The sequence below is a fragment of the Homo sapiens genome, chromosome 21 (genome assembly GCF_000001405.40).
Source record: "Homo sapiens chromosome 21, GRCh38.p14 Primary Assembly".
NCBI classification, from domain to species: domain Eukaryota; kingdom Metazoa; phylum Chordata; class Mammalia; order Primates; family Hominidae; genus Homo; species Homo sapiens.
The window spans coordinates 32336358-32351589 of record NC_000021.9 but is presented as its reverse complement, the minus strand read 5'-3'; the positions used below and the strand labels follow the sequence as shown (position 1 = coordinate 32351589).

General features: G+C 48.0%; 1 protein-coding gene across 1 annotated transcript in view; it reads left to right on the top strand.

Moving 5' to 3' along the window:
- Positions 1 to 15232, top strand: part of URB1 (URB1 ribosome biogenesis factor) — an 81995-nt gene that overhangs the window by 41423 nt on the left and 25340 nt on the right. Inside the window, exons 20-28 of the mRNA NM_014825.3 lie at positions 668 to 886; positions 2107 to 2286; positions 3779 to 4634; positions 6015 to 6216; positions 6834 to 7020; positions 10066 to 10124; positions 12690 to 12883; positions 14076 to 14186; positions 14433 to 14496. Coding sequence (NP_055640.2) covers positions 668 to 886; positions 2107 to 2286; positions 3779 to 4634; positions 6015 to 6216; positions 6834 to 7020; positions 10066 to 10124; positions 12690 to 12883; positions 14076 to 14186; positions 14433 to 14496 — 2072 coding nt within the window. The remainder of the gene's footprint in view (positions 1 to 667; positions 887 to 2106; positions 2287 to 3778; positions 4635 to 6014; positions 6217 to 6833; positions 7021 to 10065; positions 10125 to 12689; positions 12884 to 14075; positions 14187 to 14432; positions 14497 to 15232) is intronic.

The window sequence follows — 15232 nt, the reverse complement described above, 5'->3', positions numbered from 1 at the left end:
ATTTGCATTTCACACATGCTGCTGCAGGCCTGGGGAACACTGACAACCACCAAGTTTCAGGGCATGTTACAGCCTTGGGTTTTATTAGCCTAAGGAAGTCAAATGGAATTATAGCAACATAAGCCACGTGGAGTAAATAAAGAAGGCAGCTTGGTAGTAATGTTAGAAGAAATGAATAACTTCAGTTTGAGGCAGAAGGGCTCCAGAAATTTCTCTGTGTTCTGCCCATCTTCTGTCCTTCTAACAAGATATTCGACCCGCAGCTCCTGGGGAAGGTCTTCCGAAGGCAGGCCACTCGCAGAGCGGGCTTCTCTGTGGGCTGATTTCCCCCTTTCTAGTGATTCTTGTGATTCACATCCTGCCTCTGTCACACGTGGCTCCTGCCTGTGGGACAGGCTTCTGCCTTGTTCTCCAAGGGGTGTAGATGCAGCATGAATTTGGGCCTTCACATGTGGTCAGTGGAAACGCTCTAGGAAAGTACGCATGACATGGTACGAGAACTTACTCTACTGAAGTAAAATGCCACACGGTCCCGTATTCGTTAGTCTTATCTCAGCATGTGCTTCTTTGTGAAATGTCCGTTTGTTGTGTGTTACCTGTGCCTATGACCGTTTTCATCTGTGGTGATGTGTCTTTCTCTTCCCCGGCCTTTTGCTGTCTCCCTCAGCTGCTGCAGGCACAGGGCAGCCCCTCGCCCCCTGCCCTTCCCTTGGCCTCGTCCTTCACAGCCCTGCTGCAGGCAGCCTACGAGAGCCAAGCGCTTCGGGACGAGCACATCCAGGTGCAGCTGCAGGCCACCATGCCACACCTGTCCATGCAGCAGGTCCTGCTCGCGGCCAAGCAGGTGTTGCTCTACCTGCGGAGCACTGTGGAGAACTTCGGCCAGGTCAGCGTTGCCCCCATCCTCCACAGGCTTCAGAGCTCTGCCACCAGAGAGCTAAGCCTTCTCTGAGTCGGGCCCACAGCCCAGCACACTCTTGCTCCCTGGAACTCACTGCAGAGGCAGTTTAAGTGCTGTTCTGTCCAGACCTCAGCTGCAAACTCTTCATGTCCCTCAGCCCTGCCCATGGGAGCCAGGTCAGCCTGACTTTGTTTTCAGGGCAGCCTGGTCAAGACAGAGCCCTTCCTACAGTAGAATGGGTTGGCAGCCCTGCCGGGCCTTTGTTTTTTTTGTCACCAAGTCTGGAGTGCAGTGGCGCATCATAGCTCACTACAGCCTTGACCTCAGTGGACTCAAGCCACCCTCCAACCTCTCAGCCTTTCAAGTAGCTGGGACTACAGGCATGCACCACCATTCCCAGCTAATTTTTGTGTTTTTTGAAGAGATGGGTTCTCACCATGTTGGTCAGGCTGGTCTCAAACTCCTGGGCTCACAGTGATCTGCCTGCCTCAGCCTCCCACAGTGCTGGGATTGCAGGCATGAGCCACCGCACCCAGCCCTCCCTCCCTCTTTTTTTTTTTTTTCTGAGACAGAGTTTCGCTCTTGTTGCCCAGGATGGAGTGCAATGGCAGGATCTTGGCTCACTGCAACCTCTGCCTCCCGGGTTCAAGCTGTTGAACCCTCAACAGCAACCCTCAGCTCACTGCAACCGTCAGCCTCCCTAGTAGCTGGGATAACAAGTGCACACCAACACGCCTGGCTAATTTTTGTATTTTTAGTAGAGATGGGGTTTCGCCATGTTGGCCAGGCTGGTCTTGAACTCCTGACCTCAGGTGATATACCCGCCACAGCCTCCCGAAGTGCTGGGATTACAGGCGTGAGCCACTGAGCCTGGCCCAGCCCTCCCTCTTAAGTGTATTAATTTAGTAACTGGCTGATGAATTTCTGTTCCTGATGTGGTTCAAGGGATTTTTAAGTTTTGAGGTGGGCCTGTCCCTTTCAGTTTAGTCAAAACAACCTTTGTGTTTCACCAAGGCTTAGGAAGACACATCTCTTATTTGAGAAATGGCATTGCATTGATGGGTGTCTCACACACTCTGTGAGGAGTTGCCATCTCAGCCTGCCTCCCGAGTCTCCTGCTCTGAAAACACGGGCCCTGGAAGTCACTGCCTGGTAGCTGTGAACCCGTCTCTTCCCTGCTGAGGCTCGTGCTCTTGTCCTCACAGCTGGGCAGAAGTGTGGGCCCGCCCCTCCTGCAGCTCTTCCTGGATCTCCTCAGGCGCCTGGTTGTCCACTGTGAGCAGCTGGATGCCCAGAACCAGCAGAGATGCGAGGCCGCCCGGGCCGAAGCCGACCTCTTCCTGGACATGGAGTCCGTGGCCTCGCTGGAGTTGGCCAATGATCAGGTACCGCCACAGGTTGCCTGGTAGCCTATTCTCAGAGTCATGGGCAGTGGCTTTCTCTTCACTTCTGATTAAAAACAAACATAGGTCCATTGTGGGAAAATTGGGAAATGCAGAAACTACAGCAGAGATCATAAAAACTTCCTGGCACCCGCCCAGCATGCGGTTTAATTTGGGCTTCTCTTTCCTGTTGCTTTTCTGTGTACAGTCACCCTCCCTGCAGACAGCTTTCTCTCACGCTGTGTGAGGTGAGCCTGCTGAGAAACAGTGTGAATAGCTGCAGCTTGTGTTGAGTGAAAGGTGGGCAGCAGGTGCTGCTTTTCACAGGAAATACACACAGGAAATAGACTGCTCTGAGAAGCAGCAGCCTTTCTGTCCTGTTGGGAGTCTTGGGAAGCAGGCTGTTTAATTGGGGCCAAGATGACTATTTCACAGTTTGCCATGTAACCTGTTTTACCGGGTTCAGGAGGCAGACACGTTCCTTGTTGCACAATCTAATTGAAATATACACTTTTTTCCTTTGAGCTCTGAGTTGCCTTTCTGGGAGGTATTTTCTTGGGTGGGACCACCTATTATTAGCCAGTCAGCGTGAGGCAAAGCATTCTCAATATGTAATCGTGCTTTGCTGTTTTTAACTGGTAAAGCTTGAGTGGAGACTGTGATAGGCTCCTCTTTCCTTCCCTAAGAATAAATAAGGAAAGAAAATTTCTTTCTGTCTCTGGGAACTGGTGGAGTGTCGTTGGCGAGGAATCGGTTCAGCAGGGCTGTGAGGAATGACTGAATGAAATTATTCTCTAATCCAGCAAGGGAGCTCAACTGCATTCTGCTCAATGTTTACTCAGTTGGCCAGGTCAGAACTAGTTTGGGGGTTTTGTGGGGTCACTCAAGGCCCAGTCTCCTCCTGACAGTGGAGACAGGATTACTTTCAATTCAGGATCGTAGACACACGGTGGTTTAATCCCAACCCACTTTCCCCGGACACATGGTCTCATCTAAACTGACATCACCCCAGCTGTAAGTAGACACCCCTGTCCCTCAACCAGATTTATCTAGGAGGGCAAGGCCGCTGAGGAGAAGCCAGCAGCTGATTGATCTTACTCACATGGTGGTGTTTCTGCACGGCCCGCCCCCCACACTGAGTGACCATAGAGAGCACTTTTCCCATGCTGGAAATTCACCCAGGCTGGGTTCTTCAGACACGTGCTCGCAAATGTGGGTGGGGCACCAGCCAGGTCACAGTCCAGTCCTTCCGGGGCAGGTGGAGTGTCTCAGGCGATTGTGGTATAACTGGATGACAGCTCTGGCTGGGCTTGGCTGCGATGCCTTGGGCACCCCGAGGGGGGCATGGAAATGTAGGCTTGAGGATGGAATGGATTAGGAAAGGGGCCTTCTGCTCTCTGTCTCGCTAACAACAGTGAATACTTGCGTGGCAGCTGCCGCCCCTGTCTTAGCCCTGTGCTCTATGTGACGTCTGTGCCTCGTCACTGCCTTTCAGACGCTGGAGGAGGTGCTTGTGGCCATCCTCAGGCACCCCACCCTGGAGGGCTGGTTCCTGGCCCTGGAGCAGCAGGCCCTCCCGCCGCACACGCTCAGCCCTGTCCTCGTGAAGCTCCTGGCCACCCACTTTAGTGCAGGGGTCCTTCAGCTGCTGGCAGCAAGTGCCCCGATCCTCCAGAACATTGGGCAGCTGGGCCTTCTGGCCAGGTACTCAGAGGCCATCACCCAGAGTGTGCTGAAGGAACTTCAGAACAGGAGGGCGGGCCCGGCCACATCACCACCAAAGACCCCGCCGCAGCTGGAGGCCCTGCAGGAGCTGCATCCATACATGGAGGGTGCCCAGCTCCGTGAGGTCACCCTGGCCTTGCTGAGCCTGCCTGAGACACACCTGGTGACCCAGCAACCCACGAAATCCCCCGGGAAGGAAAGACACCTGAATGCTCTTGGAAAGACCCTGGTGCAGCTGCTGACCTGCAGCCCCCAGGATCAGCTGCAGAGTGGTGAGCTCCTGTGGTCCTCCGAGTATGTGAGAGGCCTGGGGGCTCTGCTGCCCACGCTAGCAGTGGACGAGCTGGACACAGTGCTCCTCCACACTCTGCAGAGAGACCCTGTGCTGGCCCCCGCAGTCGGGGCTGATCTGCTTGACTACTGCCTGGCCCGGCGCACACAGGCGGCCCTCAGCATCGCTGCCCTGCTCCTCCAGGAGAGCTGCACCCACTTGCTGTGGTTCGAGCAGTGGTGCCTGCAGGCTGGCCCAGGGCTCGGCCTCCAGGGGGACCTGGACGACTTCCTTCCCCTCATCCATGTGTACCTCCAGTGCAGGACACGGAGCCACTTCACACGCCCAGCAGGAGGTAAGGGAAAGGCTAGCTTTGGGCAGCTGGGGTCTTAAGTTGCACGGGCTAAGAAGGTGAACTGCATGGCCATTTTTAAACCCTAGAAATTCAGGTTCTGGGATGTGGGTTAGTTTCCAGTGTCTGACACAACTCTGAAGATGGAGAAAGGTGGAGTAATTCTCCCCAGTACCCTGTCTCCCTTCAGTCTCCCTACTTTGTGGCTTGAGGCACAGCCCATTGTGCCCCATCAGGTCTGAGTTCCCCCACATGAAGCTGGCGGGAGTTGGGTACAGTAGCGGGGGTTATTTAGGGCTGTCCTGTTACGTTGAAGGAGTTCTTGGGTGCCAATCCATCCCATGTCCCAGGGTTCCCTGCCCTCTGGGGAGATGTTGATGAGTTGATGTTGAGTCGAGGCAGCCTGGGTTCAGCTCTCTCTTCTGTCTCCACTCACTGGGTTTCAGAGCTGAGGCACTTTTCAATTACCCCAAATTTAATGTAATTCCCTTTTGTTGAATGCATGGGTGATTTTTACTCACCACTTTGCCTCTGTTTTGCATAACTTCCTATCATTGATGACAGAGGTTTTAAAAAGTAAGACAGTGCCCTGCAAGTCTTCTAGTCATAGTCCATTTAACATTGGTATAACGGAAGACCTGAGGATGAGTGATTTATAAAGAAAAGAGGCTTATTTGGCCCATGCGTCTGCAGGCTGTACAGGAAGCAAGGAGCTAGCGTCTGCTTCTTGTGAGGGCCTCAGGCTGCTTCCACTCATGGTGGAAGAAAAAGCGGAGCCAGCTCTGCAGAGATCACACGGCCAGAGGGGAAGCAAGAGGCACAGGAGGTGGCAGGCTCTTTTTAACACCTGGCACTCTGGGAACTAATAGGGTGAGCCAGAACTCATTCACTCTACCACAAGGACTGCACCAAGCCATTCATGAGGGACCTGCCTCCATGACCCAAACACCTCCCATTAGACCCCACCTCCAACACTGGAGATCACATTTCAACATGAGATTTGGAGGGGACAGACATCCAAACCATAGCAGCTACCCTCCCTATTCCATGGCTTTGAAGAATGAATCCCATATGAATTGAGAACCTTGGCACTCATGGTCTCATCATGAGCTTAGAAATAGCGTCTATAGCCAGGGCCCCCTGTGTTGAAGAGTATCCATCAAGAGTGTTGACTGATGAGATAGGGGAGGACCCTTGAAGGAGACAGGTGTGCCAGTTTCCATGGTGTCAGTACTCCTGCCGTGACCAATTTCAGGCCACCGGTGTGGCATCACCAGGGTCACAGGATACCTAAAATATAGCAACCAGTTCCTAGGAGCTGGTCCAAGCTGGCTGCAGCCCACCATTGGGTGTGATGACTTCTCCTTTGTATCTCTGCCCTAGTGTCTTCCGCTGTCATTCCTGTCTTGAGGAAGACCCTGTGGAGGCAGCTACAGAGCAGGCTTCTTAGCACTGACAGTCCCCCAGCATCTGGGCTGTACCAGGAGATCCTGGCACAGCTGGTCCCGTTTGCACGAGCCAAGGATCTCAGTGTACTCATGGACCGCCTGCCCAGCTTGCTTCACACCCCAAGCAGTCACAAGAGGTATGAAGGCTCAGGTTGGTTGCAGGATGTTCCACTCTCGGTGTCATTTTTTTTTTAATTCATAGAGTAAGTCATTGAAAAACTGCTGCATTACTGTTGTGCCCCATCTGTGATCAGGCAGTTCCTATGAGAACTCTACTTCCAGCCATCCTGCCTGGAGCTTGTACATCTCCACAAGTAGATGGCTGGGTCGGGTTCCCTGAGAGCCATGGATCTCAGCTGGGGGTGATTTTCTCCCAGGGGACAATTGACAATGTCTGACATCTTTTATTGTCACAACTAGGATGAGAGGGTGTTGCTTCTGGCTTCTAAAGGGTAGAATTATCTGTCCCATAATGTCAGTAGCACTGAGGTTGAGAAACCCTGATTTAGAAAAAGTCTGGACATACGTGTCCTTTTCCTGGTGTACTAATAGTATTTCCCTTGCTTGTAAAAATTTTGGTATATCTTTGGCATTTGAGTAAGAGTCCAGGGAAGCCTGTGATTCCTGTGAGTGGGTAGTGTGGGGAGCAGGACTCAGCATCTATCCCATATGGCTCTTTGTGATGCTGGATTATACGTAAAGTCAGAAGGATTTAAACCTGCTCTCTGTCTCTGACTCTCATCTCCTGCTGCAGGTGGATCGTGGCCGACTCCATTTCAGCAGCTCTGGAAGGGTCAGCAGAAGAGCTGTGTGCCTGGAGAAGGACCCTTTTGGAGTCCTGTGTGAAGTGGCTGATCGTGTCTTTCAGTGGTGGACAGCAAGATGATGATAATACTCAGAATCAGGAGAAGGAAATGCTGCTTAGATTAAATGCGTTGTTGGTAAGTGTCTTTTCTTAGAGATCCAGATTAAATTTCTGTGGGAAAGAGTATGCTAGACAAACCAAGCTATAGATGCATTTCAAGCCAGGTGGCATGAATATGGCCCTGTAGGAAATGAGAGGGGCTGTGTCTGGGGCAGAGTGGCAGATACTGGATAACCCCAGAATTGATGAACCATCTTTTATCAGGAATGGATGTTTGGATTTTGTCAAATGCTTTTTGTCAAGTGCTTTTTTCCATTTCAAGATGTTATATAATGTCTTGTTTTTTGATTAGTCTACCAATAAGATGAATTATATTAACAAATTTTTGAATGTTAAACCAACCTTGCATTCCTGGGATAAGCCTGCTTGATTTTGATGTGTTATTTTTATATATTGTTTGATTTGTTAATATTTCATTAAGAATTTTTGCATCTGTGTCCATGAGGGATATTTGTAATTTTATTTTCCTGCAATGTCTTTGGTCTTAAGGATTAAGTAATGCTGGCCTTATAAAACAAGTTGGGAAGTTTCACTGGGTATAAAATTCTATGTTGATAGTTTTTTCCTCCTTTAAGTATTTCAAACTTGTTGCTTTTCTGTCTTCTGGCCTGCTTTGCTTCCAGTAAGAAACTTGCCTTTCTTGCCTTTGTTTCTCTGTGTGTTGTGTCTTCTTTCTCTGACTGATTTTAGGATTTTTTTTTTTTACATGGTTTAAAGCAGTTTGATAATGATACACTTCAGGGTAGTTTTATTCAAGTTTCTTGTACTTTGGGTTCAGTGAGCTTCGTGGTCTGTAGGTTTATAGTTTTCACAAAATTTAGAGATATTTGGCCATTATTCCTCTCCATCCAGTGGGTGGCTTGATGATGGAATGACAGACTGGGCTCTTTTAGAGGGTTGCCTCCCTCCTTACCTGCCTTTTCTTTTAATTGAGGTAAGTTTACATATTTTGAAATATACAGAAATATGTGTACTTCATGTATCTGTGTACCCCACATTCCTATCCAAGAAGATTTTCATCATCCCAGAAAGTTTCTTGTGCATCTTCTCAAAATCCCCTTCCCTCCAAAGCAACCACTCTTTTGATTTCTGTAACCCTGAGGTTGTTTTGCCTGTTTGAGACCTTTGTATACTTGGAACCGTGCAGTATAATCATATAGTGTGTCAACTGTGATGCGTTTCACTTCTTTAAGTTCAGTGATGCTTTCCAGATTCATCCATGTGGTGGGAATAAGTAGTTTCTTACTTTTTGTTGCTGAGTAGAATTCTACTGTATGATGTCCACTCTCCTCTACCACTCATAAAATTTGGAATTACTGGTTTTTGTGATCACAGGGCTAAAAGACATACTCATTGCAAGTATTCACACTGCAAAAAATAGAGAAGAAAACAAAAAAAAAACTCCCATTACCCAGAGTCTATCTCATTATAAGTTTGGTGAATTTCCCTGTAGAAACCTTGTTATATATCTGTGTGTGTGTGATAAAATTATGTATAATTTTATATATTAATAGGATATTATGCATGCTGTGTGTAGCCTGGTCTTTTGTTTGTTTTTAGCATAATACCATATTTAGAGATTTTTTTTCCCCACCCGATGACTGCGGACCTGCTGTGACTTTGTTAGTGGTCAGTGGTAGATGGGTAAATGTACCATCATGTATCACGCAGTTGTATGATACTGGAGCTGTGGGTGGTTTTCCAGTTTTTTATTATGATAAAGAATGCTGTGATAAACATCTTTGCATGGTCCATTTTTGCACACTTGGCCATTTATGTCCAGTTGCAGGAAATGCTGGGGGAAAGAGAACATGTATATAAAAATGTGATGAGCCAGGCATGGTGGCACGCGCCTGTAATTCCAGCTGCTCTGGAGCGAGAGGAGATCCTGACCAGGGTTCCGGCTTTCCTGGTTCACAAGTTGGCACTAGTGCTTCCTGGAGCAGGAGACCACCAGGTTACCTAAGGAGAGGTGAACTGGCCTAGGTTGGAAACAGAACAGGTCAAAACTCCTGTGCTGATCAGTAGTGGGATTGCGCCTATGAATAGCCATTGCACCATTGCACTCCAGCCTTGGCAACCTAGCAAGACCCAATCTCTTTTAAAAAAGAAAAAAAAAAGTCACGAGTGTGAGATATACCTCAGCTGATGGGTCCAGGATCTCCTTGGATTTCCTTGTGATTTCTGGAACTGTGGCCTCCACTGCACAGCCAGCCTGGTGGGAGGCAGCAGCCTGCACACACACGGCCTGTAGCTGGTCTCTCTGGAGCCAGCATTGATCATCCAGTTCCACAGACCTCTTCATGTCATCCAACCCTGTGTCCTGGAGGCTGGGTAAAGGTGTCACACTAGTAGTTTTCATTGGCTATTTAATAAAAGGCTAATTACAAATCTATTAGTGCTATTTGAAATGATAGACAAAGGAAAAAAATAACAGGACTACTCAGGAAATTTCCTTTGACTATTTGATAAACACAATTATGCTGATAAAATGTCAGAGCTACTAGCAGAAATAACCAAACAATTTTTTTTAAGTTAAAAAAAAAAATCCAAAACCTTCATGCTCTTGTGGATTGTTTGGATGACTGTGTTTCATATTTACTGAATGGCCCTAAGTGTAATTTCATATTACATGGCTCTAAGTGCTCTAAGTGTAATTTCATATTCTGCATTTTAGTTTTTGTTTTAAGATTAATCTTGGTTCTGCTCTCTGCCCCTGTAAGTTTGAGCTATCACATGCTTGTCAAGAATTGTGCAAACAAGAGTAACTGCTCAGTGATTTTTCCCACGCACATTAATAAATTTGTATGCCTATTCTATTAAAAAAAAATAATCATTGCACAGAGAGTCCAGAACAGAGCAGCTGCTGGGTTGAATCACAAGTGTCAGAGCAGAAGGGGACACCAGCGCTCCTCTTTTCAACCCTTTGATCATGGGTTTTACAGAGGAGGTAGTCAGGCCATGGAGGCAGATGCCTTTCTGAAGGCTCTGCAGCTGGGGCCTTTTAGTATTTTGTAGACTGAGATGTTTCATGTGTTTTTCTTACTTATTTTATTCATAGCATGCACTTAATGAAGTTGATCCTGGTGACTGGCAGAAATTCGTGAAGAAGGGACTCAAGTAAGTTGATTTTATTTTCTTGGTGCCCTTCGGTAAAGGTGTGAATGTCGTTCAGCATGCAAAGCCTCTTTTATAGCTTGTTATTAGCATAATCCACGTGGTGGAGCCGATGTCACCTCGTTTTTAGAGATAGAAGTTGGAGAAGTTAAATGATTTGCCTCTTGACACAGGGTGCTTCTGATGATGAGAGAAGCAGTCTTTTAAAAGAACTATTTAAAGAAATACAGAAATGTGCAGAGAATAATAGTAGCCCCCACATTTAATACATGCTGACAGTTTTCTGTGTTTGTCCTGTTTCTTTCTCATCCCTCTGTAACCAAAGGTCAACACTCTTCTGAGGTTCTGCTTTGTCTCGTCAGTATCTTATTTTGTATTTTCATACACTGAGTGTTAGTATGTTGTTAAACAGTATTATTTAGCGTGTTTAACATTTTACACTAATGTATCATTCTTTTTTTTTTAATGTATCATTCTTTATACATCCTTTTGTTCACTGAGATGTTTCTAATTTACCCGTACTGATACTTGTAGATCTAAGTCATTCATTTTTACTGCTGTAGAATATTCGGTCTTTTGACTATATTCCAGATTACTTAGCCAGTCCTCTACTGACAAATGTCTAGGCTGTTCTCCCTATTCTCCCCTTTACATCACATCTCTCTCTCCCTCCCTCTCTGTTTTTCTCTTTCTCTGTCTCATTCTCTCATTCTCTCCCATTATAGTCTTACAGTCTCTATCATGTCTCTTGGGGTGGATTGGGGACTTACTAGCTTTTAGTGTGGGTGCATCTTCAGTTCTAGATGCTCAAACTGCTCTCCAAAGTTGTTGAGCAAATTTTTTGTTTTTGTTTTTGAGACAGAGTTTTGCTCATGTTGCCCAGACTGGAGTACAATGGTGTGATCTCGGCTTACTGCAGCATCTGTCTCCCAGGTTCAAGTGATTCTCCTGCCTCGGCCTCCCAAGTAGCTGAGTCCACAGGCACGCACCACCATGCTCGGCTAATTTTTTGTATTTTTAGTAGAGACGTGGTTTCACCATGTTGGGCAGGCTGGTCTCGAACTCCTGACCTCAGGTAATCCACCTGCCTCGGCCTCCCAAAGTGCTGGGATTACAGGCGTAAGCCACTGTGCCCGGCCAGCGAATTTGCACTCCCAACAGAGTGTGTGTCAGCGTTCATTTTCCCTTAACATCCTTCCTGACCCTTGATACATTCCAGCTCTTCAGTTTGGGGCAATCAGATAGTCATGCATTATTTTCATTTCCCTGACCATCCCATGAACTTGAAACAGAGAAAAGTATTTCACACAAGAGGAGAGAGAGAAGTGAGAGTGGGTGCCAGGTTAATGACAACTATAGGTTACCATCACAGAATTATGATATTTCTTTCCATCTTAGGTTAAAGTTATTCGTATAGGACTGAAAAACACTTTCTTTAGAGCGTGTTGCTTTCCTTTCCTTAGTGGGTTTTGAAGGGATTTAGGACATAGAAGGCTTCTGAACCATTTGATGGAAGTTCTGAGTAGAGGAGAGTGAGGAAGGAGGGAGGCCGGGCAAGGTGACCTGGGAGGCACTAAGTTGCCTCTTTCTCAGGCGCAGCTGTTCTCATGCCTCCTGGCGTTTCCACTAAGCAGGAAGTTCTTTTGGTGTTTGAGTCATAAAGAAAACAAATGCACTGGGCTGGGCTCAGTGGCTCACGCCTGTAATCCCAGCACTTTGGGAGGCTGAGGCGGGCGGATCACGAGGTCAGAAGATCGAGACCATCCTGGCTAACACAGTGAAACCCCGTCTCTACTAAAAATATGAAAAAATTAGCCAGGTGTGGTGGTGGGCGCCTATAGTCCCAGCTACTCTGAAGGCTGAGGCAGGAGAATGGTGTGAACCCGGGAGGCGGAGCTTGCAGTGAGCCAAGATCATGCCACTGCACTCCAGCCTAGGCGACAGAGCGAGACTCCGTCTCAAAAAAAAAAAAAAGAAAAAAAAAAGAAAATAAATGCACTGCATCCCTCCCTTGTTTTGAGAAGTGCTCCCTGTGTCAGTGGACAGACAAGACTGTGATAGAGCTATGCAGTGCCGTGTCAGTGGTAGAGCCTGGATGGTGGGTATAGGGTATTTGCTGCAAAATTCTCAACTTGGTGTTGTTTGAACATTTTCTTAATAAAATACTGAGAAAATGGCCGGGCGCAGTGGCTCATGCCTGTAATCCCTGCACTTTGGGAGGCCGAGGTGGGCAGCTCACCTGAGGTCAGGAATTCAAGCCCAACCTGGCCAACATGGTGAAGTCACGTCTCTACTAAAAATACAAAATTAGCCAGGCGTGGTGGTGCATGCCTTTAATCCCAGTTACTCTGGAGGCTGAGGCAGGAGAATCACTTGCACTTGGGAGGCAGAGGCTGCAGTGAGCTGAGATTGCACCACTGTACTCCAGCCTGGGCAATAGAATGAATGAGACTCCATCTCAAAAATAAATAAATAAATAAAATACTGAGAAAAAGAATCTTTATTGTTTCCTGTAAAATAAATTTTCCTTTTAGCAAAGCTCTTTTCCCTTTGACTCTCGCCGCCTAGATTTCGGTACCAGGACCACACATTTTTAAAGATGCTCCTCACCGCCGTACAGCTCCTGTACAGCCCAGAAAGCTCCGTGCGCACGAAGCTCATCCAGCTCCCGGTGGTCTACGTGATGCTCATGCAGCACTCGCTGTTTCTGCCGACTCTACTGACGTCTGACGGAGAGGAGAGCCCGGACAGCCAAGTAAAAGGTGACCCCTCACCCCAGCCCTTCCATTCCGTATCCAGATTTTATCTCCTGATTTCCTTACACTGGCTGCACTGAGGCTCATCTCCCTCCGGCTCTCGGAGCTAAGGAAGCATTGCCAAGACAGTGTCAGAATGTTTTATTTCTGTCAAATCCAGGGTGAAGAAATGTCTCCTCTGACTTGTGGTCAAACAGCAAATACAAACCTGTTTTCAAGGCCTTAACTGGCTTACAGAAGTTGTGTTTGAGATCTTAGTGCCGTTATCATGGGCTCATGTTAAAATCTGGGATCGAGGGGAAGTCACGCGTGGGAAAAAAGTGTGGGTGTCTAACCTGAGAGAAATTGATTAGTTGCATGAAATTTCTGCTTGGGAAGATTGAAACTTTTATCAAGGGAAAACGGTTGGAACTTGCCCATTGACAGTTCAGTGGTAAAGAACTTCAAAAGCCTAAGTTTAGGCTCCATCCCTAATTCAGTAAGGATTCACTTTAGTGCTCACAGGTCGGATGTCAGAGAAGATAATCCGAGGGTTCCTGCCCTCCTGACGCCACGCTCTGTTTAGACAGATAAAATTCACACCCGGAAGTATTAGCAATCACCACAGGGTCAGACTGTAATAAACTGCTATTAATAAGTCGAAGACAGCCATTAGCCACATCACTGGTATGGGTAGTAGAAAAACTAAAAGGGCTCCACCATTCAATTCAGGCAAGAGTAGACAGAGTAGAGGCTTTGGTAGCACAGTCATGGGGAAAACATGCCTGGATTGAAAATCTGTATTGGCTTAACATTTGGGAGGGGGAATGCGCAGGGACTGAATTCAGCCTTGTCAAAGGCCTAGGAAGAAAGGTGACTGTGGAGATGTCTTAATTGAAAAACACGTGGGGGGCTGGGCGCGGTGGCTCATGCCTCTGATCCCAGCACTTTGGGATGCCAAGGAGGATTGCTTGAGCTAAGGAGTTCAGCCTGGGCAACATAGCACGACCTCATCTCAAAAAAAAAAAGAAAAAAAGAAAAGAAAATAATAATAACAAAAAAATAAGCGGGGAAGGGATTAGATGGCAGTCCAAACACCAGTATTATTCAGAGGAGGAGATTTCCAGCATTTCAATGTTGCCTGGAAGGCTCTCTCCTCTTCTGGTATTCAGTGTGTCTGCCCCACCATGCCATGTGTTTCAGGGTTGTTTTCTTGCAGAAGCGCTGGTGGACCTGATGCTGACGGTGGTGGAGATGTGCCCCTCTGTCTGTGAGAGCAGCCACTTTGCAGTGCTTCTCGGGGCCTATGGCGCCACTCTCAGCGTCCTAGGTGAGGGTGTGAGGGCTGGGTAGTGTGAGCAGGGGGAGGGAGTGAGGGCCGGGGGTGTGAGCAGAGATAGGGAATGAGAGCTGGAGGGATGTGAGCAGGAGGAGACAGTGAGACCAGGCGGTGCAAGCAGGGTGAAGATATGAGGACCGGGCCATTTGAGCAGGGAGGGTATGAGGGCAGGTGGTGGGAGCAGCAGGAGGGTGTCAGGGGTTCATCTTCCTAAACCGATCCTGCTTTGACTTGTAGATCAGAAGATTTTACTTCTGCTTCGAGCGTATGAGCAGAACAAGCTCAGCCTCATCAACTTCAGGTGAGTGTTGGGCTAGAGGTAGACTAGGCCTTGAGGTCACAGCCTGCTCTCCACACAGTGAGCTCCAGACTCGAGATTTTCTCTCATTCCATTTTGGTTCTCAGGGAAAGAGTGAGGCAGGCAGCACTCCCCTGACTCACACTGGCTTCTGCATAGGGTGCTCTGGGGAAGCTTGGCCTTATGCCATAAGGCATCTGGGCAGGGCCACTGCAGCTGACTGATGGGTGCCTGTCTGTCTGGAATTGCCCCTGTTGTGCACTGTCAGCTGGACTGGGGTGTCTCATTTGGTTGATTTTTCTGAAAACTTTTCTGCTCATGCCTTTAGGTAGATTGACTTATGCCATAGGGATTTCAGGGGAAGTGTCAGGGGGCTCAACTGTACATAAAATCTCTTTTTTTTTGTCTGTATGTGCATGCATGCTTGTGTCTGTGTGTGCATGCGTGTATGTAGGTGGGTGTGGGTGTACATGTCTGTCTTTCCTGGGCTCCCAGTCTTTTGGTCAGGTGGGCTTTGGTCCTGCAGGGCTGAGTGTGACACCTTTCCCTGTGGGCCCTGCCTCACCTTTACAAGTGCCGCACCTAAGCAGGAGCTTGATCAAATGTGCCATTGATAGAATGCACTTTTGGATCCTCTTTGCTGCCCTAGAGTCTTCTTTTCTCCTTGCCATTTGGGACTAGCACTGGAACATCTGCTCAGTATGTACGTGTGTGTGTGTGTTCAGCCAGGAGGCGGGCT